This window comes from Homo sapiens, chromosome 5 (assembly GCF_000001405.40).
Source record: "Homo sapiens chromosome 5, GRCh38.p14 Primary Assembly".
NCBI lineage: Eukaryota > Metazoa > Chordata > Mammalia > Primates > Hominidae > Homo > Homo sapiens.
The window spans coordinates 96,210,992-96,236,251 of NC_000005.10; the positions used below are offsets into that span (position 1 = coordinate 96,210,992).

General features: G+C 36.2%; 1 protein-coding gene and 2 long non-coding RNA genes across 15 annotated transcripts in view; 2 read left to right on the forward strand and 1 right to left on the reverse strand.

Moving 5' to 3' along the window:
* The window catches only part of CAST (calpastatin), an 813,255-nt gene that overhangs the window by 249,563 nt on the left and 538,432 nt on the right, over positions 1 to 25,260 (forward strand). The window contains exon 3 of one of the 13 annotated variants that reach the window (NR_186780.1): positions 3,984 to 4,373. The exons of 11 other annotated variants lie outside the window; for them this stretch is intronic. The gene's annotated coding sequence lies outside the window, so the exon portion shown is untranslated. Of the gene's footprint in view, positions 1 to 3,983; positions 4,374 to 6,058; positions 6,191 to 25,260 lie in introns of those variants that run through there. One more of the 13 variants, NM_001423260.1, reaches the window with a different exon arrangement.
* LOC101929710 (uncharacterized) overlaps positions 1 to 25,260 on the forward strand; it is a 669,085-nt gene that overhangs the window by 248,991 nt on the left and 394,834 nt on the right. The window lies entirely within an intron of this gene.
* LOC124901032 (uncharacterized) lies at positions 2,419 to 4,037 on the reverse strand. Its single transcript, XR_007058878.1, has 2 exons — positions 3,877 to 4,037; positions 2,419 to 2,798 (listed from the first exon to the last, which is right to left on the reverse strand). It is a non-coding gene; the product is annotated as an uncharacterized LOC124901032 (long non-coding RNA).

A 25,260-nucleotide genomic window follows, 5' to 3' on the forward strand; every position in this document is an offset into this window, starting at 1 on the left:
GAATCCATTTTTGTATGTTCATTTTCTATCCTATGACCTTGTTGAACTCACTTAGTATTTTTAGGAGATTTCTTGTAGATTCCTTAGGAACTTTTGTGTAGGCAATTATACCTACAAATAGAATTAGTCTTGTTTCTTTCTTCCTAATCAATGTAATTTTTATTTCCTTTTCTTGATATATTGTATTGAATAGAACTTCCAGTAATATGGGTGAGTAAGAGTGATAAAAGCAGATGTCTTTGTTTTATTTCTGATCTTTGAGGGAAAGCGTTAAATTTTTCATCATTAAGTATAATAGTGGCTTTAACCAGTTGAGGAAATTCACTTCTATTTCTAGTTTTCTGAGAGCTTTTGGTATGAATTAGTGTTGAATTTTTTCAAGTGCTCATTCTCAAGTGGAATGATCATGTGATATTTTTCTTTAGTCTGTTAAATGGTGGATTACACTGATTGATTTTCAAATATTGAACTAACCTTACATCCCTGAAATTAGCCCACTTTGTCATGGAATATACTTAATTTCTCTAAAATATTATTGAATTCTATTTGCTTATATATTCTTAAGAACTTTTACATGTATTTTCATGAGTGATATTGGCTAATGATTTTCTTTTTTTGTACTATCTCCCTATGATTTTGATATCAGGGTAATAATAGCTTCATAAAATGAATTAGGCATGTTATCTTATATTTTCTGGAGGAAAGTGTGTAAAGTTGGTGTTAATTCTTCTGTAAACATTGGGAATAATTCTCCAGTGAAATCATCTGGGCCTGATAATTTATTTTGGGAGAACTTTAAGATTATGAATTCAATTTTCTTAATAGTTATTGTACTACACAAATTATTTCGTTCTGAATTAGTTGTTGTACTTTGTGATTTTCAAGGAATTGGCCTATTTCATCAAAATTGCTAGAGTTTTGCATGTAGAATTGCCACAGTATTCCCATATTATCTTTTTAATATCTGCAGGATCTGTCATGATATTCCCTGTTGTATTAGTATTGGTAATTTGTGGATTTTCTTTTTTTTCCCTTTGTCAGTCTTGCTAGAGTTTTGTCAATGTAATTGATCTTCTCAAAGGGTGAGGTTTTAGTTTTATTGATTTTTTGTATTGTTTTTCTGGTTTCACATTAATTTGTGATTAATGATTTCTGAATTTTATTTTCTTCTATTTATTTTGTGTTCATTTTTCTTTTCTTTGTCTAGGTTCTTGAGGTAGGAGTTTAGGTTACTGATTTCAGACTGTTTCTCTGTTCTAATGTAAGCATTTAATGCTGTAAATTTCCCTCTAAGCACTGCTTTAGCTGTGTCCCACAAATTTTTATATGCTGTACTTTCATTTTTATTCAGTTCTTTTGGAACTTCCTCTTTGATCCATGGATTATTTAGAAATGCATTGTTTATCATTCTGTTGTTGATTTCTAGTTTTCTTCCTTTGTAGTCAGAGAACACACTTTGTATGGTTTCAATCCTTTAAATTTGTTGAGGTTTGTTTTATGGTCTAGGATATGATCTATCTCAGTATAGGTTCCATGGGCTCTTGAGAAGAATGTGTATTCTGCTGTTTGTCTGGTGGAGTGTTCCATAAATGTCAATTAGATCCTATTGGTTGATAGTGTTGTTGAGTTTTCTATATTCTTGCTGATTTTCTGCCTAGTTATTATATCAATTGTTGAAAGAGGGCTATTGAAGTTTACAACTGTAATTGTAGACTTGTCTATTTCTCTTTTCAGTTTCACCAGTTTTTGTTTCAGATATTTCATAACTCTGTTGCTTTTTGTACACACATTTACGACTTCTATGTTCTCTTGGTAGAGTCACCCTTCTAACATTATGTAGGGCCAGGCTCAGACAATGATCCATGCCTGTAATCCCAGTGCTTTTGGAGGCCAAGGTAGGAGGACTGCTTGAGGCCAGGTATTTGAGACCAGCCTGGGCAACAAGGTAATATCCCATCTCTACAAAAAATAAAATAAATTAGCCGGGCATGGTGGTGCACACCCGTAGTCCTAGCTACTCCAGCGGCTGAGGCAGGAGGATTGCTTCAGGCCAGGAGTTGAAGGCTATAGTGAGCTATGATCATGCCACTGCACTCCAGCCTGAGTGACAGAGTAATATGCTATCTCTAAAATAATAATAATAATAAATTTTAAAAAATATTGTGTAATGTCACTCTGTATCTGGTAAATTTCTCTGCTCATAAGTCTATTTTATCTGATATTAATATAACTATTCCCACTTTCTTTTGATTAACTTTTACATAATATGTCTTTTTCTATCCATTTACTTGTTATATTTATTTCAAATATTTGAAGTAAGTTCCTTGTAGACAGCAGGTAATTGAGTCATGTTTTTAATATGTTCTGCTAATCTTTGTCTCTTAATTGGTATATGTGGATATACTTTTATCCATATAATTTACTTCTTTAAAATTTAATAATTAACTAATGCATACACAGTGTATAAAATCTTAAAGATACTAAAGAGTATCTGATATTAAAAACATTGGACTGAGCATGGTGGTTTATGCCTATAATCCCAGCACTTTGAGAGGCAGAAGCAGAAGGATCATCTTGAGGCCAGGAGTTTGAGAGCAGCTTGGGCAATGTAGTGAGATCCTGTATGTCCAAAAATAATTATATACATATATAAGCTGGGTGTGATGGTACATGCCTGTAGTTCCAGCTACTTGGGTGGCCAACGTGGGGGAATCTCTTGAATCCAGAAGTTCAATGCTGTAGTAAGCTATGATCATACCATTGCACTCCAGCTTGGGTAGCAGAGTAAGACCTTGTCTCTAAAAGAGAAAAAAAAATATTAAAAGGTCAATCCCGTTCCATTCCACCTCTTTCCCCAGTCCTCCCATCCCCTTCCCAAGAGGTAACCATGTTTTCCAGTTTTATGTTGTCTTCTATCAGAGTTAGTCTACATAATGAAAACATATACAGGACTATACAAAATACAAATGAGAACAAAGTATATATACTGTTCTACTTGTTGTCTTATATATAATTAATAGCAAATCTTGAAGATCTTTTTGTATTGGTACATATAGAATACCGGCAACATTTAAATAAAAATATTTCCTTCCAGCTTCAAAAGTCTTAGAAGTCAATCTCAGGAAGTATGTTCTCTTACAGAAGATTAAATCTAAAAATCTGCATGAGTTGAAACATTTAAGGAGCAGAATGGAGATTGTAACTTATAATGAAATATGTAAATTGGTAAATATTTAGAGCATGAATAAGAAATAATTTTGAAGAAACATGATGGCAATCTATTTATAAGCCATACATTTCCGGAGAGTTGTGAAGTTACTTACCAGCAACTGCCTATATGGCTAACAATAATGGAGTAAGACCAAGAAAAGAAAAGGCAATATTTTAAGTCAAAATTTAGCTCTGGAAACTTTGTGAAATACTTCATGTCAGTATTACCTTATTATTGTTACTACCCAAATGGAGGAAAGCCTAATACTCCATGAAATAAAACAAAATTCTAGATCTTAGAACTTTTCTAAGTTCTGAATGAATTGCAAAATAAAGACTGGGCGATTCATCTATTTAAACAAAGACATGTTAGCTACTTACTGTGTTTGAGACACAGTTCTAGTCAAAGAATAAGATAGACAAGGTCTCTGCAATCTTGGAGCTTACATTCTGGGGAAGGCAGTGAGAGGAGAGAAAATTAAAACGTAAAAACAACACAAAACAAAAAAGCCAGGTGGTGGTATGCACTGTGATGAGAACAAAGCAGGGTTATGTTTTACCAAGACACAAGAAGATTGTTTTATAGTATTTGGTGTTAGAAGATGATGTTACACTGAGAAGCTCAGGAAACCATATCCATAATCCAAGAAAAAGTCTTTTGCTTACATTTCTGAAGTTTGCTCTGTCCTCCTCTGACCTCTTTCTGGCCAAATTCTTAAAGCCATAGTGTAATTCCACATTCTTGGTAAAGCCTTCTAAAATATTCCTGCCAGGAAGAAGAGAGTGCACCTGATGTAGTAGCCACTGTAAGAACTGTGTTGGAGAATGATCCGATTGGCCAGTGCAAGAGGGATTGCAGAGAAGAAGAAACCACAAGCAGAAAAACCAGATGAGGAAATTAAGCTAAATATTAACTATCTCAAGAATATTCCCAGAAGTGACTGCTAAATTTAAATCCCTGCTCACAATGAAATACTGTACAGCAGGGGTTCTCAAACTTTTTGGTCTTAGGACCCTTACAGCCTTAAAAATTATTGAGAACTCCAAAGAACTTTCAATTATGTGGGTCATAACTACTGATACTTACTGTATTATAACTTGAAACTGAAAAAATTTTTAAATATTTATAAACATTTAAAAATAATAAACCCATTGTAAGCTAATGTAAATAGCATGTTTTTATTAAAAATCACTTTGTTTTCCAAAGCAAAAAATGTAGTGAGAAGAGAGGCCTTCTTTTACATTTTAATATCTGGCTTATGAGAAAATAGCTGAGTTTCTCATTTCTGCTTCTCCATTTAATCTGTTGGTGTATATTTTATTTAAAGTACAGTTAACCCTTGAAGAACGTGGGTCTGAACTGTGCAGGTCCACTTATACATGGATTTTTTTCTAATAAAAGTTGCAAATATGCCTGTCTCTCCTACCTCCTTATTCACCGCCTCTACTTCTTCTGCCTCAACCACTCATGAGTCAGCAAGACCAACCGTTCCTCTTCCTCCTTCTTCTCAATCTGCTCAGCATGAAGATGATGAGGATGAAGACGTTTATGATGATCCATTTTCACCTAATAAATAATAAATATATTTTTCTCTTATAATTTTCATTTATTTATGTATTCGTTGAGACAGAGTCTTGCTCTGTCACCCAGTCTGCAGTGCAGTAGCATGATCTCAGCTCACTGCAACCTCTGCCTCTCGGGTACAAGTGATTCTCATGTCTCAGCCTCCCGTGTAGCTGGGACTACAGGCACACGCCACCACACCCAGCTAATTTTTGTATTTTTAGTAGAGATGGGTTTTTTCCATGTTGGCCAGGCTGGTCTCGAACTCCTGGCCTCAAGTGATCTGCTCACCTAAGCCTCCCAAAGTGCTGGAATTACAGGTGTGAGCCACTGTACCTGGCCATGATTTTCTTAATAAGATTTATTTTCTCTAGCTTGCTTTATTGTAAGAATACAGTATATAGGACATAAACAAAATATGTGATTTGACTGTTTATGTTATCAGTAAAGCTTCTGGTCAATAGTAGGCTATTAGCAGTTAAGTTTTGGGGGAGTCAAAAAAATTATATGTGGATTTTCAACTGCAAAGAGGCCAGCTCCCCTAACCCCCACATTGTTCAAGGGTTAACTATATATGAAAAAAATCCAACCTCACACGGGTAAGTAATAAATTGCTTTTTAAAAATGTGGATATTCTTCTTTATAATACACCAAGAGTTGAAAAGTGGTAGTGTCTTAAAGATTGGTTTCAGTATGGATTCTGAAACCATGTCAATGAACTTCCCATTTTCTATGAAATTAAAATCCACTGGTCTACCTTGTACTTTGAGTGGATCTTTTACCCACACATGATTTTGTGTTATACATTGGTGATTTGGGCAATATTCATTCACTGAATTACTCAGATCCTACAAATGTTTCAATATTTCTTTATATAATACTTTTTAAAATCAGGAAGTCTTCAAGATCATGGTGGTGGATATGTTTTCCAGAACTCTAATTTTAGTTTGAAAGCTCAAGTTTTATCATTAGCATCAAATGCTGACAGTTGCTTTTCTGGAAGTTACAGGCTCACTTCATTTATTTTTGAGAAAATGTTTGCCAAGTACCTAAGTCTGAATAACAACAGTTTTCCCGTCATTCCTTTAAATAAAATTGCTTTTCATGACAAAAGTGACTAGTTTAACTTAACAACTCAACTGATTCTCCTCATGAGCTCTTTTTATCCATTGTGCTTTCTGTTGCAGAAGTATTTTATAAGCACTTTACATCACACAGAAAATATTAAAAAGATGTGTACTCAAGAGTTGAGAAGTAATAAAATTATTATTTTTTTATTTTTAGTTTTTTAGAGACAAGGTCTCACTCAGTTGCCCAAGGTGGAGTGCAGTGGTGCAATCATAGCTCCTTGTAGTCTCGAACTCCTGGACTCAAGTGATCTTCCTACCTCAGCCTCTGAAATAGCTGGGACTACAGGTATACACCACCATGCTAGCTAATTTTTTTTTTTTTTTTTATAGAGATGAGGTCTTGCTTTGTTGCCCAGGCTGGTCCTATACTTCTGGCTTCAAGTGATCCTTCTGCCTCAGCCTCCCAAAGTGCTCGGATCATAGGCATCAGCCACTGCGAGTGGCCAAATTAAATTTTTTTTTTTTAACCAAGAACATTATTAAGTTAAACTAGCTTTATGGAAAATAATTGTTTCTTTCTGTTGATTGGTAGTGCATGGTGTTGAAAAGTAAGACAGTGATGACTATAACCATTTGGTGCCGCTCCCTTGATTTGTGGTAAGGTACCAGCCATTTTTCCCACTATTGCTTTTGTGCTATCAGTGCAATGAAAAAGGCAAATTATGTGTTCCTGTACTTATGAAAATAGTTTACTTCTGGATCACACTTGTGAACCACACTTTGAGAACAGCTACTGGACAAAAATGTGAATGGATGATCTATTACTATGCACAACAATATGGATGAGTGTCAGAAATATAATGCTGAATGACGGAAGCCAGACCCAAAATAATACAGGCTCCAGGATCTTTTATATCTAAAGTACAGAAACAGGAAAAACTTAACTTTGGTGTTGGTAATTAGGAGAAGGGTTATCCTTAGGGATGCTGAGTGGAATGAGGCATGAGGCATGGTTTGCTGTGAATGTTCTTTCCTGAGCTAGACATTGGTTACGAGGGTCTGTTCAACTGTGAAATTCATTAGCTGTACGCTTATAATATGTACACTTTCTGTGTGTATGCTATATTTCAATGAAAAGTTCAGAAAATAATACTTACGTTCTTGTGTTTTGTCTCCTACCTCAGTTAATTGAAAGTTCTGGGGGGTGGCCTCTGAGTAGTAATAATCAAGAAAAAGTGACTGTTTGCTTTTTTCGATGCTAGCAATATTAGCTGTTTAAAAGGTTTTGCATGGGTTCAAATTACAGTCTATCGTTTTTAGGATGCTATGTGACTCACACTAGGTGAACACTGACCATGTTTTCCTATGGAATTTTTTTAAATGCAGTATATGTGGTTGGATGCAAGCTGTCTATGGGTTTCTGACCTTCAATGCAATTTTATATTTTCAGTTGATTGTTGTATCTGGAAGGAGATCATAATGAAGCAGAGGCCCTATATTATGCCTGTGGTCCAGCAGAAGGGGCTGGCTGACATGGAAATAATGTATTACATTTATTCATGCTATGGCATAATGAACTAAAAATATTCTGCTGGAGAGGTAGAATTAGAACCAAAAAACATTTTAGGCATTTGGCCTTTGCTAAAATAATATTTCTCTCCCAGTCTTCTCTTCCACCTTCCCTACACATTTAAGTTTTCTTCCTCTTCCAGCTTGGCTAAGGCCCTGCCTCACCCACAAAGCCTTTCCCAACTTCTGCTGCCTGTGGCTACCTCCCCTCTTCTGAACTCAGCACTCTTTTATATTGCCGACCCTCCAGTTTATTTGTTCATTAATTTAATTTATGTTGGTAAACTTATCTAACTCCTACATGTGCTAGGTTTAGGATCCAAAGACAAATATTTCAGACGAGCTGGATAGAAAGACAAGTGAAAAGCTCACTTCAATAAGGTCTGGCAAGTGTGACACTAGAGAGAGGCACAGCAGGCCGGGAGAACACACTGGGAGGCACCAAGTGGGTCAACATCAGGGGAAGTTTAGAGTCAGGCAGCCCTCAACTTGAGCCTTTGCTTTGTTATGTACTGTGTGGGGTGTTTGGCAAGTTACTTAAGGTCACTAAATCTCAGTTTCTTCAGGTGAAAAGTGGAGATATTAGGTGTTCCTATCTTAGGGGCATTGTGAGGAATAAATGAAGCTGTGTGCAGAACAGCTACGTAGTATATGCCTGGCACAGGATAAGTGCTCAGTTAATGTGAGGTATTATCACTATTATTTTTTATGTGTATGATTTCATGGCCCATGTGGTGAATTGTTTGAGCTATGTCATGACAGATATATAATGTCAATTTAACCAAAAATTTTCATTTGTATTTCTTGAACTCATAGAGGTTCAGGCTTAGCACATAATCACACTCCTCAAGAACATCTCTTATTTTTCTTCCCCATCTACTTCTATTATGCATTCAGGAGCTGGCCTTCCTAAGACGCTTCATTCAAAACTATTTTTTGGTTCTCATCCATTTTGCCCCTGTCTCATAGCCCCAAAGTGGCTGTCACAAACCTATGAGACAGGCATTATACCCATTTTATAGATAAAGGAAGTGAGCCTCAGAGAGCTACTAAATAACTGATCCAAGATTATACAGCTAATAAGTGGCATTGCCTAGTCCATGTCAAAGTTGCCAGCCTGGCCAGGCATGGTGGCCCATGCCTGTAATCCCAGCACTTCGGGAGGTTGAGGCAGAAGGATTGCTTGAGCCTAGGAGGTCAAGGCTTCAGTGAGCCATGTTTGTGCCACTGCACTCTGGCCTGGGCAACAAAGTGCGGCCTTGTCTCAAATAAAAAGAAGGAAGGAAGGGAAGGAAGGAAAGGAGGGAGGGAGGAAGGAGAAAGCAAGAAAGGGAAGGAAGGAAGGCAGGCAGGCAGGAAGGAAGGAAGGAAGAAAGGAAGGAAGGAAGGAGAGAAAGAAAAGAAAAAAGAAAAGGAAAAGAAAGAGAAAGGTAGGTGGTTGGCATGTTTAATATCTCTTAAATTCCTTCTCATTGTCTCCACAGAAGACCCCACTCTGTCTCCTGCTAAAGGTCTGTCAGAGCCTGTACAAAGGTTTTAAGGTCACTTTCTTTTGGAGCAGGATGTCTGAAGCTGATGCTGTATGTTGCCCAATGAACAGCCATTCCTTTCCCCTTTCTTCCTTGTTGTTAAAGCCTGTCTCCCACGACAGAGACTGAAAATGCTAAATACTAGTTTTCCCTGCCTCTTTGTTGCTATGGTGTGGGTCTGTGACTCAGTCCTGGCTAATGGGACGTGAGGAGAAGTTTGCTCAGAGGCATCTGAAAAGGGTTTGTCTCCTTAGTACAAAGATATAAGAGGAGTCTCTACTCTCTTCCTACCCTTCCTGTTTTGAACATTGCTTTGTGAAGACATGATGCTTCGGGCTGTGGCAGCCATCTGGTGTCTATAATGTTTTGTGCCCCCTCTTCATGCATTTTAATCTCAGATGGTAAAAGACACCCTCAAGTACACTAGGACTTACCTATAATTAATTGAGCTATTCAGAACATGTTATGTAAATGTTAACATGACCATGGTAAAGAATAGAATATTTTAATGGAAATGTTTGTGAGGAGGAATAAACCTTTGAAATTATCTAGATTATCAACTCTTCATTTCACAGAAAAAAGAAACTGATACCCAAAGCATTTAAACATCTTTCCTAAAATTATACTTGGTTAGTGACAGAGTCTGGCATAGAAGCTAGGCCTTCTGACTCTGTTTCAAACATTATTTCTGTAAGACATTTTTTGATGAATAAGACATCACTCAGTTGGAGCTGTGCTACTTAAAATATTTGTGACGAGTAAGTGACCATCTGAAGTGATTCAACTTGTTTGATTCATTTTGTTTCTAAATAGTTCTAAGCTTAGTTGGCTATTTAGTGAGACTACCTGACATCCTTTTTTTCTGAGAGTCTTTCTTGAGTTTAGTAAGTTGTTTGAAACAAAAGTACCAAGATTTCAGTCATTCTGCAGCAGAGAAACCAACATTCCGTGATGCCCTTTGTCGGTATGATATTAGTCAGAGAAGGAAGAGTTGCATCACTCCCTAGTGCCATTATTTGTAATTGTGTGCTTCACTAAAGGAGATTACAATTAATTTTATTCACAACATATATTTTCAATGTTAAATTTAACAGAGTTTAGGTCATTATGGATTACTTGAATGTCACTTTGCCCTCCCTTGGCCTGTTGTGGATTGATTTGTAGTCTCTAAGAACATATTCTGAAGTCCTAATCTCTGGTACCTAGAAATGTTACCTTATTTGGAAATAAGGTCTTCACAGATGTAGTCAAGTTAAGTATCCTTGTCATATTGAAGACAAGGATCTCCACTCTTACCACTCCTATTCAACATAATACTGGAAGTCCTAGCCAGAGCAATCAGGCAAGAGAAAAAAATAAAGGGCATTCGAATTGGAAAAGAGGAAGTAAAATTGTCTCTCTTTGCAGGTTCTTATGTTAAGAAAACCTAAAGGCTCCATCATAACCCTCCTAGAGCTGGTAAACAAATTCAGTAAAGTTGCAGGATACAAAATCAATATACAAAAATCAGTAGTGTTTATATACACCAATAATGAAATAGCTGAAAAAGAAATCAACAAGGCAACCCCATTTACAACAGCTGACAAAAAATAAAATATCTAGGAATAAACGTAACCAAGGCAGTCAAAGATTGCTATAAGAAAAACTACAAAACACTGATGAAAGAAGTTGAAGAGGACACAAACAAATGGGAAAACAGTCCACACTCATGGACTAGAAGAGTCAATATCATTAAAATGACTGTGCTGCTCAAAGCAATATACATATTCAATGCAATCTCTATCAAAATACCAATGTCATCTTTCACAGAAATAGAAAAAAAATCCTAAAATTTATTTAGAACAAAAAAAGAGCCAGAAGAGTCAAAGGAATCTTGAGCAAAAAGAACAGAACTGGAGGTAACACACCACCTGACTTCAAAGTATATTACAAGGCTATAGTAACCAAAACAGCATCGTATTGGTATAAAAATAGACACACAGTCGACGAGGAACAGAATAGAGCACCCAGAAATAAATCCACGTATTTACAGCCAACTGATTTTCAACAAAGGTGCCAAGAACATACACTGGGGAAAGGACATGCTTTTTAATAAATAGTGTTGGGAAAATTAGATATCCATATGCAGAATAATAAAACTGGACCTCTATCTCTCCCCACATACAAGAATCAACCCAAGATGGATTAAAGATTTAAATGTAGGACATGAAACTATAAAACTACTAGAAAAAACCATAGAGAAAATACTTCAGGACATATGGTCTAGGCAAAAATATTATGGCTAAGACCTCAAAAGCACAGCCAACTAAAACAAAAATAGACACATGGGACTATATTAAACTAAAAAGTATCATCAGAGCAAAGGAAACATCAACAGAGTGAAGAGACAACCTGTTGAATGGGAGAAAATATTTGCAAACTATTCATCAAACAAGGGACTAATATCCAAAATATACAAAGACCTCGAACAACACAACAATTAAAAAAGCAAATAATCCCATTAAAAATTGGGCAAAGAACATGAATAAACAGTTCTCAAAAGAAGACATACAAATGGCCAACAGGTATACGACAAAATGCTCAACATCCCTAAGCATCAAGGAAATGAAAATTAAAACCACAATGAGATATCACCTTACCCCAGTCAGAATGACTATTATTAAAATGATAAAAATAATAGATGCTGGTCAGGATGTGGAGAAAAATAAATTATTATACACCATTGATGGGAATGTAAGTTAGTACAACCACAATGAAAAAAAATACAGAGATTTCTCAAACTAAAAATAGAACTACCATATGACCCAGCAATCCCTCCCCTCTAATATATATCTATCCAAAGGAAATCAGTAAGTATATCAGAGTGATACCTGCACCCCTATGTTTATTGCAGCACCATTCACAATAGCATAGATATGGAATCAACCTAAGTGTCCATCAGTGGACTAATAAAGAGTACATGGTATATATACATAATTGAATACTATTCAGCCATGAAAAAGAATGAAATCATATCATTTGCAGCAACATGGATGGAACTGGAAGTCATTATGTTAAGTGAAATAAACCAGGCATGGAAAGACAAATTCTGCTTGTTCTCACTCATATCACTCATATGTGGAAGCTAAACAACTTAACCTCATGGAGATAGGACTAGGAGAGATACCAGAGGCTGAGAAAGGGTGTGAGGGTAGGAAGGGGAAATGAAGAGATGTTGGTGAATGGGTACAAACTTACAGTTACATAGAAGACATATATTCTAATGTCTGATAGCAGACTAGGGTGACCATAGTTAGCAAAAATAGATTACATGTTTCAAAGTAGAGAGATGAGAGGACTTGAAATGTTACCAACACAAATAAATATTAAATATTCAAGGTGATGTATTAAATAGTACTTAAAATGCATAGAATGTGTAATGATCAAGTCAGAGTATTTGGGGTATCACATGTACCCCATAATATGTAAAACATTATGTATCAATAAAGAAAAAAATTAGGTTATAGTGGATTAGGATGGGTCTATTTCAATGATTTCATGTCATTATGAGCAAAGGGAGATTTGAACAAGGATTGCCAGCAACCATCAGAAGCTAGGAGGAGTTCAGAAAGGATTTTTCCCTAGAATCTTTGGAGGGACCATGGCCTTGCTGGCACTTAGACTTTAGACTTTACACTTCTAGCCTCCAAGACTGTGAATGAATAAATTGCTGTTGTTTTAAGCCACACCATTTGTGGTACTTTGTTATGGCAGCCCTAGGAGACTAATACATGGCTGCAGGTGTTCCTGGGTGGTATTGACCCTGCTTCTTCTCCATCTGTCCTTGAATTTATCTCTTGAGAGATCGTCAATGTCCTGGGCTCACCCTTTTGTGTAATAGATGTTAATAGACTAGGTAATTACTGTCATGAGAATTTTCTGAGAATATTAAAACTTTAATCTTTTCTGTACATCTTCATGGAATTAACAAGCAGGTTAACAACAAAATATGACCATGCACTGATATTAGGTACAGAAAGAAATAGTGAGCTAAGCAATTGGTCTCGGCAGAGTGGATCCTATAGAAAAAGAATAGATTGTGATGGTTATAAAAAGGTAAAGAAAGGAGCCTGAATCTCTCTGATCCACAGAAAGAGAAAAAGGATATACATAATGTTACCCAGCACAAAAATACAGACTTAGAAGCTCAACTAGAAGTCCTAAATCAGAACTGTCTTGGATCAAAGTGACTGAAAACTCAATTCAAACTGACAAATCTTGGGGCTCACAACTGAAAAGTCCAGGGATAAGTTATGTGGGGTGAAGAGTAATCCAGACATTTAGATAGTGTTGTCAGAACCCAGTGTCTCTACTTTTCTGTTGCCTTCTTTAGTAGGCTGTATAATGGCCACCCAAAGATATTAGGCCCTAATCTCTGGAACCTGTAAATATTACCTTTTAAGGAAAAAGGGGTCTTTTTAGATGTGATTAAGGTAAGCATCTTGACTTGGGGAGACTATTCTGTTGATCTGGGTGGGCCCTAAATCTAATCAATCACACCTGTCTTTAAGAGTGAGGCAGAGGAAGATTTGATACACACAGAAGAGGAGAGAGCAATGTGAAGATGGTGGCAGAGATGGGACTGATGAAGCCACCAGAAGCTGGAAGACATAAGGATCCGATTCTCCCCTGGAGCATCTGGAAGAAGCAAGGTCCTGTCAACATTGTGCTTTTAGTCATTGAAATGAATATTGAACAGAATCCTGTCCCCTAGCACTAGTAGAGAATAAAGTTATGTTGTTTTAAGCCACCAATTTATGATGATTTCTTATGGCAGCCACGGGATACTAATTTACCTTCTCAGATGATGCATGATGGCCAGATGGGTTGCCAGCAGCTCCCCTCTAGACTAAGTACAATGGAGAAAATAAAGCATTTCTTATTGTGACTTACACATGAGTTTCAGGATTCAAGATTTACTCTGAACTGGCCAACTCAGCTCATGTGCCCACCCCTAAATTAATTGGGGTATCTAGGAATTAGTTGTTCTAATTGTCCAGACCTAGGTCATGTGCTCCACTCCCTGATTCAAGGGTGAAGGCCCACCCATCATGTTGGCAGGCCTTACATGTTGATGGCGTGGAGGTAACTTTTCTAGCTTCGATCTTACATCAGACTCTAAGTTTAAAATCAATATCACATATGTGGAATCAAATTAAAATAACACCAATGTAGAGGCAATTGTACCACCTCTGTGTCATATACCAACAATGGTATTTAATAAGTATTTATTGACTTTGTTGCTATTTGTTTTTTTCCTTCCTTTCCTTCTTTTTCCTTTCTTCCCTCCCTCCTTCCCTTCCTTTTTTTCCTTACTTTCTCTCTCTACCTTGTTTGGTTAAAACCCAAACAGATTTATGAAAATGTAGAATGATATATACACATTAGCAGTTTTGTGTTCAAGACGGTGTGTAAATGGGGGCATACAGGGATATAACAGCTGGAATTATAAAACTGTATGCAATTTATACTTTAAAAACACACAAAGATCATAGATAGAAAAGAGTTAAGTGGAAGTCTAAAAATAAAGACTGGAAAAAGCTCATTTATGTTGGGGGGCATTGGGTTTATTTGAAAAGCAGTGAAGGTAAAATTATAGATATGTTGGAAATTTTCTGAAAAGTTTTTACTGATGAGTTATCTTATACCCACCTTACTAATGTATATGTAAATAGCTATATTTTTCTCTATCTGAGATGATTTTCTTGAGAGTCTGTTGTGATTTCTGAGTCTTTGTAGATCTAACAGAAACAGAGGTAAAAGAATACAAATTATTACTCAAAGATAGACACATAATTGATAAACATTGTCTATGAGAAGTAAGTTGGATAAACCAAACACTTTATTCTTGGAGAGAGCTGTTCTATAATACAAATCTATTCAGGGAGAAAAAGAAATTTAATTCTTGCCCCCCGCCTCACCATTCTTCTTCTCCTTTTTCTTCTTTCTCTTTTTCTATGAAATTCTACAGCTCACCAGTTACTGCACTATGTATCTTTGGGTCCCTCTGAGAAGGTCAAACTTCTAATAACTAATAAGTAACTAATAACTGTAGTTACTCTCTGATCAGCTTCTAATATGTCCCCACCTTGCACTTCTCAGACAGGGAGATAAATAAAAATAGTGTCAATATGAGCATTTCCAAACCTGCAGAAATTCTTACCCAAAGGTCTTAACTGCCCATTGGTTGTAGCTGCAGAGAATCAAGAAGGGGCAGAGTGGTTTCTTAGCCCCATATAGACTGGGTGTCTTCCCTTAGTTTATGTCCACCTGGCAATTGGTCCAAAGCCAGGGGACCAGGACCTTACAACCGTTGTACCAATGAACAGTAGGAACTCTTCAAAACATAACCAGCCTTCTGGGAGAAGGCAAATGGAGCATAAAAGATCTAATGTAGGCTGGGCATGGTGGGTTATGCCTGTAATCCCAACACTTTGGGAGGCTGAGGTGGGCAGATTGCTTGAGCTCAGGAGTTCGAGACCGGCCTGGGCAACATGGCAAAACCCTGTCTCTATAAAAAATACAAAAAATTAGCCAGGGGTGGGGTGGTGGCACGTGCCTGTAGTCCCAGCTACTCAGGAGGCTGAGGTGGGAGGATCGGTCAAGCCTGGGAGGCAGAGGTTGCAGTGAGCCAAGATCACACCACTGCACTTCAGCCTGGGTGACAGAGTGAGACCCTGCCTCAAAAAAAGATTTAAAAAAAAATCAAATGTATTTTAAGAATCTGTTTTATTGCAGATAGTAATTCATGTTTTCACCTTTTCTGGCTTCTTGATTTCTAGGTTTAACTTTCTCCCCCACTTGTTCTACCCAACAGCCCTCTTGGCCGCTCCTCCCTGGAATCATTTCCTGTCATGACATTTTTAGAAACCAAAATAACAGCATTTACAATGTAACAGCTAAATATTCCCATAGAATATCTTGGTAAAACAAGCACTTTTGCATGGTAGTTTTTAACACACTATTGGCTATGTATTCAGACTGAACCTCTTCTGAGTGTCCACGGTTTCTAGCTAACCAATGGGCTGATTGCAGCATTGTTCGCTGTCGCTCTGTAATCACATCTGGCATACAAAGCTGGCGGCATCCTGGCTTCCAGGATCTTCTTGTGTAGTGTCTTGGTTTAATGTCAGAACACACAGTTTATTCAGAGAGTGAGGGGGAGGGTGCTTTTAATAATAAGAGGCAGCTGTGTAATTCTCTGTAAAAAATGAAGCAGAAGAAGTACATTGCAATATTACATGGGGTTATGAGATACCACAAATGGAATGTTAGTTGGACAAATTCAATACATTTTGAATTCTTTGGATTTTTTTAAAAGAAGATAATCACTTGTGCTTTTTTCAATAGAATTATTTACTTAGCCTTTTACATCTTGAATTTTCCAGTTTAAATTTAGTACAGCATAAACTCAGAGAGGTGCTGGGAAAAATTTCCAAAGTGTCTGTAGACAGTGTTCTTAAACCACGATGGCAAAACCTCAAAAATAGGTGCAGCTCCATCAAAGTTAAATTGAATGACTCAATGTCTGGACCGCTCAGGTTTTTTTCTAGTTAGGGAAGGGGAGAGACTGTTCACTGTAGAAATTCAGAATCCTGGATGGAGGAAGTTTGTTTTGTTTTTGTTTTTAGAGAGGGGGAAAAAGTGCCATCATGGGAAATTAGAATAAAAACAGAAGTCTCTTTAAAAGTGTAAAATAAGAGTCAGCTTCCTTGTTTTTTGTTACTTTTTATTTTCAAAAATTACATGGTAGCCTGGAGCTCTATCTTAGATATCAGTTTACCCAACTTCCACAATTTCTAGATAAAGCCTTGAGGCTCCCTTTTCCCTCGTGTGTCTTCCTTTGCAGTCACTTTCCCACACTCGCTTGTGTATCAGACAAGGGGTGGCAACGCGACTAAGTTTTGGCCAACAATGTGTAAGGGCAAGTATGGTGGATTTTGTCACTGTTAAAAATAAAAAGTGCCTTGATAAAAATGATTTTCAGCTTCACCGATTTCACATTTTTTGTAGTCTCCCTCTTTCTCTCTCTGTGTGTGTGTGTGTGTGTGTGTGCACGCACATGTGTATGTGTGTGTCTGTGATTACAAAGGCTAGAAATGGCTGCATGTTTTTGAATGGGAATGTGATGCTTAGAGCTTAGCGGCCATCTTGGACCTATGAGGTGGCAAGACTAAGACTAATGATGGAGAGAGAGCAGAGTAGGAGGATGGAAAGAGCTCGATTCAGCTAGCCACTGTACCAAATCTGGAACATCCTACCTCTGGATTTCTTTCTGTGTGAGACAATTAATTGTCTTTATTTCATAGGTCACTTGTAGCTTTCAGTCAGTTTTTCTGTTACTCATACCTCTGTACATTTCTAATTAATACACCCTGAAAGATTAATCTGCCCAAGTTTATAAAATACACTGTAGCATAGTCTCAGTTGGAATCCAGCTCTTCTAATTTCTTGTTTATTATCTTTCCCTCTCACTATCTGCCCCTGTTCTATCACCAGATTTGTCTCTACATGAATAAATGGGTTATTGTCTTGATTAAACCTGTTAAGTATGGTACTGCAGTAAATTGTATTTGTCCCCTAGATTCGTGCCTGCATTTGCAATCCTTTTTGCTAATACGCATAAATTTTATAGCCTGTCTTTGCGTGAAAAGGCTTCACAAGTTAAGGATTATTAGATGATTCATTTTCATATTGAAAGCCTTGATTTAACAAGAGGTAACCATTGTGAGTCATGTTAATATTGAGGGAGTTTAATGTGTCAGCATGCTTACAAAGTTGACTGTATTTCAAAACCTCAAATTCTTATCCTGAAAGGTGTTTTTAAGAACAAGTAGGTAAAATTATATCAAAATAGAAAAATATAAGCAAATGTTTAGCAAAACTAAAGAGTAATAATAAAATATATAGGTAATAATATCTCAGAATATATGACATACTGTACCAAAATTATCTGAAAATTCATGTGCTCTTCCTGGATTTACCAATTATTTTTGTGTAATAAAAATCTTATCTGATTGGTTTTCCTCTACCTTTAGAATAACGATTTTATGTGACCATAGAATTCTAGGGTTGAAAAGATTCAAAAATCCATGTTATCTATTACCTGGCTTTGAGAGAGGACCCATCAAATCATTTTACCAGGTGAGAATGGATGATTTTCCAAAGATTCTATAGAAAAGAAAGTTGTAAGTTTTCTTTACAGAATAGAGAATAATCATGAACTGTATCACAAACACAAATGAAATCGTATTTTAGGAGCACTTTTAGTTAGTTATGTGAAGGATACTAGATACAAAGGATACTTTGCTCCTTCTCCTTAGAAGACATTTTGCTTTCCCATAGGCCATCAAATGACCTTTCACGCTTCAGCAGTGTTATGACTGCACTTGCTTTCCATCAACAATGCCTTTCAGAATGCTTTCACAGTACAATGACTTAGTTTAGAAAGCATCCATTGGAAAAAAAAGACACTATTTCCATGGCAGTGGCAGCACCATAAAGAAAATGAAGCTTGGAGAAGCACAGAGATGCAGATGTTAAACAGTGGTATCTTCCTGAGCCCGATAGCCACAACAGTACTGCAGGAGTGTTGTATTGTAGAACAATCTTTTTTAAGTTAGAGTGAATTCTAAATTTAGTGAATGTATAGCTCAACACATCAAGTTGTTGACAGTGAACATTATGCATGATTATTCTGTATTGTGTTTTAAGGAATAATGTTTTAATACAGTGTGCCCTGTTTTTCACTCCCGTAATCTATTCTCTGAATTAGGAGACATTTCTTCTTTACATAATATAAGAAATGTGAAGAGGAAAACTGAAAAAAATTCAAAATCCCTATGATCATAGTTAATTATTTGTTTATTTGATGAAGTTACTTTGACAAACCATCAATAAATTCTTCTTTTATCCTCCCCCCGTGTTCCTTCTGTTATAAAACAAGAGTATCCTTGTTGTCCTTCTCCCACCTGGACGCAGACAGCTGTTTATCAGTGACCTTTGTTATTTAGCTATTGAACCTGAGAGGTGTCAGGGATAGTGACAAAGCAGACACTTTCTTGTGCTCAAACATACTACTATTTGGAGAAGGATAGACGTCCATTCTCATGGTGACAAGTGACCAAGCCTACATGGAAGAACTTCTTATAGAGCCTGAAAATGGGTTCTAGCTGATGTCCTGCAGTATGAGCACAGAGACTTAGGGTTTCTGACTTCTTTCCTATGGTCAGAAGCTGTTGGACCTGCATTGGAGTGTCCCCCAGGGATGCCCTAGGCAGAGGCACAAAGTCTTCCTTTGACTTCTCTCCAATCCAGGTTCCCTACCTACTCTGTAAGTCCTTTTAGGTCCACTGTCTTCATTGGCACTGTCTTCTCTTTATCAATTTAAATTTTATCAATTTATCTGTGGTTAGTGTTAATGCCCAGAAGCCACCGCATAATCCTAATAATTATCATCTGTAAAATTAAATACTTGAAACTTCCCCCTTGATAGCTCTCTGATTATACCACTTTAAATCTCACTTTCCATTCATTCACATCTATAAAAATAATTATGATAATAAAACTCCTAGAAGAAAACACAGAAGTAAATCTTTATGATCTTTGGGTTAGGCAATGATTTCTTCGATATGACTCCAAAAACGTAAGCAATGAAAGTAGGATTGTTAACTTGGTCTTCACCAAGGTTAAAAACGTTTATGTTTCAAAGTACACCATCAGGAAGGTGAAAAGAAGGTCTATAGACTGGGAGACAATATTTGTAAATGACATATGTGAAAATGGGCTTGTATCCAACCCATATAAAGAACTCCTACAACTCCAAAAAGACAACTCAGTTTTAAAAAAGGGGCAGATGATAAGAATAGACATTTCTTTAACGAAGATTTACAAATTATCAACAAGCATATGAAAAGATGTTCGACATCATTAGCCATTAGGAAAATGCAAATCAAAACCACAACGAGATACTACTTCACATTCGCTAGAATAGTTATAATCAAGACAGTGACAAGTGCTGAAAGGATGTAGAAAAATTGGAACCTCATACTTTCCCGGTGGGAAAAAGTATGGTACAGTCACCTTGGAAAACAGTTTGGCAGTTTCTCAAAATGGTAAACATAGATTTACCATATGATCTAGCAATTCTCCTTCTAGAATATACACCCAAGAGAATTGAAAACATGTCTAAACAACATCTTGTAAATGAGTGTTCATAGAAATATAATTCATGATATCCAAAGAGTAGGAACAACCGCAATGTTCATGAACTGATGAATAAATAGACAAAAATGTTTTATGTCCATAGAATAGAATGGTCTTTGGCCGCAAAAAGGAATGAAGTGCTGATATATGCTACAACATGGATGAACCTAAAAATATGTTGCATGAAGGAAGCCAGTCGTAAGATACCACATATTGTATGATTTCATGTATTCACAAAACAGAATAGAATAAGCAAATCTATAGAGGCAGAAAATAATGCGCTTAACCAGGGTTTGCAGGAGAAGGGGAGAAAAGAATAGAAAGTGATTTTTCATGGGGATGGGTTTCTTTATGAGATGATGAAAATGTTTTAAAATTAGATTTGAGTGATGGTTGCACAACTCTGTAAATATTCTAAATACCATTGGATTGTACACTTAAACACACTTAAACAGGTGAAGTTTATGGTATAAATTATATCTCAATAAAGCTGTTAGAATAATTATGATATAATATAAAAATAATTGTGTTGGGTAATACTTTATTGTTTATTATCTTCATTGTGGAACAACAATTATTACTAGAAATAAAAACATAAAAAGGCAAAAAAAAAGCACATTGAATTTTGGCAGTGGCCAAGTTATTTAGCTTCCATTACCACCAACATATACCATACTGTAGCTGGATATCAGAACTGAGGAGATTACCGGTAGGTTTTGGAAAATGAAAACTGGTTCATGATGCCAATCCCAATTGCAAGTGGATCCTAAGCTTTTTTTTCTGATCAGGGCTGGACTGGGGAGAAAGGGGTGCCAATAGGTCCATGGTGCTTTAAAGAAAATATGGTATGTGTTGGTGGTAAAAGAACTAAAATATTGGAGATTCAATATAAATAACAATAAACTTTTCATACATAATATATTTAGCTAGAAAAGTACTTAAAGTTTTATCCGGGGTCAATTTCCATCAGAATTTTGGGGAGAAGATACTTACAAAAAATTGAAATTGATCAATCCCACCCTAAATCTATGAACTGATATCTCTGGAGGATGAGAGTGTTGGAAGCTGGGAATCTGCATTTCTAAAAATGTTACTAGGTGACTCTGATGCAAATAGAGAAAACTGATACAAAATTGAAAGGCCAATTTTCACAACTTATACTGTGTGTGATACTGGAAGTCCTAGTTAACAAAATAACATAGAACAAATAAATAAAAACTACAAGGATTGAAAACAAATAACATTGTCCTTACCCACAAATATGGTTGTCTGCAAGAAAATCTATGGGGATCTGCAGAAAAGGACATTTGGAAAACCTAAGAAAATCTATGGAGAAAAGATTGTTTTAGAATTTATGGTGTTCAGCAAGGTTGCAGAATACAAAATTAACAATCAAAATTTAATACGAAAAACTCAGTAGAATTTGTGTATAACAGCATAACCTTGTATAAATGCAATTTTAAAAAGAACAAAAAATTGAGGGGGATAGTTGGGGCCAAGAAAGAAAGAGAAATTATAAGGTTCCTATTAAAAATCTCACAAAAACTTTTCCTTTCTTCATGCATGAAATTACAAAACTTTATTTAAAGACATAAAATAGATTATTTTCTAAGCCAATTGGAGAGCATACTATGTTCATGGATAGAGAGATTCATAAAAGTATTAATTTACTCCAAATTTGTCTAGAAATGAATGAAAATTTCTAGAGGAAGTTTGTAAAAATGCACAAAGTGTATAGCAATTCTACTTCAAAACACAGTACTATATTTTAGAGAAACACTTGCATATGTTAACACAGATACTTATTACAGCAGTGCTTGGAATAGTAAAAAAGGGGAAACAACCTAACAACCCACCAGTAAGGGAATTAACAAATTAACTGTGGGTTATTACTATTTGACAGTTAAAATGAAGCACTTCAACCAATCTGCATCTATTAGTATTAAAAATTCAAAAACCAAAATATTCAATGTAAAATGCAAATTGCTATATGTAGATACAATATCAAATATATAAAATGTAAAGACCCCAAAATACTATTTTAATTCATGGATACATATTTAGTAAAATTATGCAAACTTTCGTGGAATTGATTCCCTAAAACTTCAGAACACCTCTGAGGAAACAGGAGAGGAAAGATATAGGACTGGGATTCAAGTTTTAGCTGTATCTAGAACACTTTATTAAAAGAATAAGTAAATAGGAAGCAAAAATGGAGTAATATTAACATGTTAGGTCTATGTGGCAAGTAACTTGTGTTACATTACTCTTTGTATTTTAAAATACTTCAAAAAACAAAAATAAAAAAATTGATTCACAGAACAGAACATTCAATATGGATTAACTCTTTTAATTGAGTTGACATAAAGCCCTATATTGGTTTAGCTCCTCTCATCAATATTTTCCATAACTGAAATCTGGACAGATGGCAGATACAATATTTTCTCTCCTTGACAGATGGATGAACTGGAAGGTTTAATTACTTTCTCCTAGTTACTTAATAAGTAGCTCTAGAAACAAAATATTTTGGTCAGTAACTTGGGTGTTTGTCTACCACACAGCATGTTAGAACACAATAATTAGCCTGTATAGTTTCGACTGTAAGATAACATATTTACATATGTGTTCTATTACATATATAAAACAGAAACCTTATATCTTCGTGTATAATCAGACACTGTAGAACAAGAAGAAATAATCTTAAAATTTTAATAATCTTAATTTTTTTCTAATGACGTTGTAGATAAGATTTTTTGTTCTTACATAATTGCAAAAAAAAATTATTTTTTAAAGTGAGAGTTTTTGATATTAAGTAAAAGCCAAGAATAAATTAGATCCTTTGGTTAGAGCATTTGATTTCCCTGCTTCAGAAGTGGGCACACACAAACAAAGAAGTGGGTACATAGGACAAAGATCACTTGGCTTATATTCAGGAAATGTAAATTTTCCTCTCAAGTCTTCCACTGGCTAACTGTAGCCTGCATCAATTCTTTGAATTTTTCAGGGTCTGTCAAAGTTTATGGAAGAAAGGATGTATCAGGTTGAGAGAAAAGCATTAGTCTTAAAATGTATTGCTTGTTTGAAACATGGCAAACAGCCTGCTGGGGCTGGAAGGAAGTGTTCATGGAAGGCCGTAGTAGGGAATGCGGCTAGAGATGCTTTAGATTTTACTCTACAGCAATTGAACATTTTTGAGGAATGGCATTGTAATATCTGCCTTACAGTTTGCATGGGAATATTGTCATTTGGTAATTGCAGGCAGCGACATATACACAAACCATACTAAATCAGGTCAACCAAACAGGAATTTTTTTTCCTCCCAAAATAAGAAGTCAGGAGATGGACAGGCCACAGTTGGGGCAGCCTCTCAAGAAAGTCATGAAGGACCGAGTTTCCTTCTAGCTTTCCTGTTCCACCAGCCTTGGCTTGTGAATTTTGCCCTCATTCTCTCATGACAGCTGTTCCATTTCTATGCAGAAAGAAAAGGGAAATTCAAAAGTTAAATGTTCATCCAGACAAGTTTTCTCTTTTTCCAGTAAAATAATAACTTTAATGGATGTTCCATCCAGCAGACTTACGTTTATATCTCATTGGCCAGAAATGTATTACAACAAAGTCTGGGGAGGTGTGTGTGGGTTGTGTATGTGTGTATGTGTGTGTGTGTTTTACTGCTTTATTGAAGTATAATTTACATAAAATAAATTACATATGTAGAAAGTATGCATTTTGGTGAGTTTTGATATGTGTGTACACTTATGCAATGATTATCATAATGAAGATACCAAATATTTCAAGAAAGTATTCAAAAATGGGAACTTCGTTACCTGAATAAATCAAGTTTCTTTTAGCAAGAGGCAAATGGAAAAAATAGATTTTTGAAAGACAACTAGTAGTGTCTGCCACAATTTCTAGATTCATAAATTTTCCCAAAGGTGCCCCTCCAAGTGATTCTCCTGGTTCATCTTGGTGGACCCCAGGAGAGCTTTAGGAAGAGAACCAGAGCAGGAGTTTGCCTTGGGATCATTTCTAGTCTAAGTCTGCCTTGGCAGGCAGTGTAATATAGATGAAAGCATGGTTTTTGGTGTCAAATTGGGGTTAAAATCCCAGCTCTCACACTAACTCATTGTGTGGCTTTGAACAATTCAGTTCAACAAAGCTTTAATGAGTATCAGCTATATAACAACTACTTTCCATTCCCTGGGCATACAGCAGTAAAAAGGACAGACGTAGTCCATCCCTTCACAGAGCTTGCTATCTGGTAGTGGCTGAGCCTTTTCTATAAATAGGAGCTGTGGCGAGGATAAATTTAGTTCTTACAACATGTGAATGTTAGTTTAATGGTAATTATTTAGGAGCTGTCCTAGATTTGGCTTCATTCTACTAATACTTGAATTTGGGAGCTTGAATCTCCCCACTAGAAGTTGTGCTTGATTTTGGATTAATCCCAAGAGTTCTGGGCTTTTTTTGTAGCTAATTAAGGTCAACTATCTTTTCTCTCCCCACACCATGGCCCTAAACCTCACTGGGTTAAGAGCACATGACCTAGTTTCCTCCCTCTGGGGGAAGAAAATTCTAAAAATCTCCTTAGAATCTCAGAAATTCCCTGCCTCTGAAAATCCTTCTGTTTTGAAGTCACTCAGGAGCCGGAGCCTATTTTCCACACCCGCTTCCAGTTCACTCCTCTGCGAGTAACTTGGGTTCCCAGATCTGCCTGAGGATACTAGAATTCATCCTAGACCATGGATACCCCTATTCCAGATCACAAGGTCCCAGATTTCTGCCAGGGGAATGAGAAAATGCTGTAAAGATCAACAGTTCTTCTTGTAATTTCTTTTGCTTTTCGATAGCATTGAAAATGTATTGGAATGTTATAATTACTTCTTATTAAGTAACCAGGATCTCTATGTCTGTCTGTCTATCTGTCTGTCTGTCTGTCTATCTATCTATCTCTCTATCTATCTATCCATCCATCCATCTATCTACCTATCTATCTGTGGCTATTTTTGGAGTTGGCTCCTCTTGGGAAATATTTAACAGTTTTGTGGAAATCCCAAATACCATAATGGTAACTGCA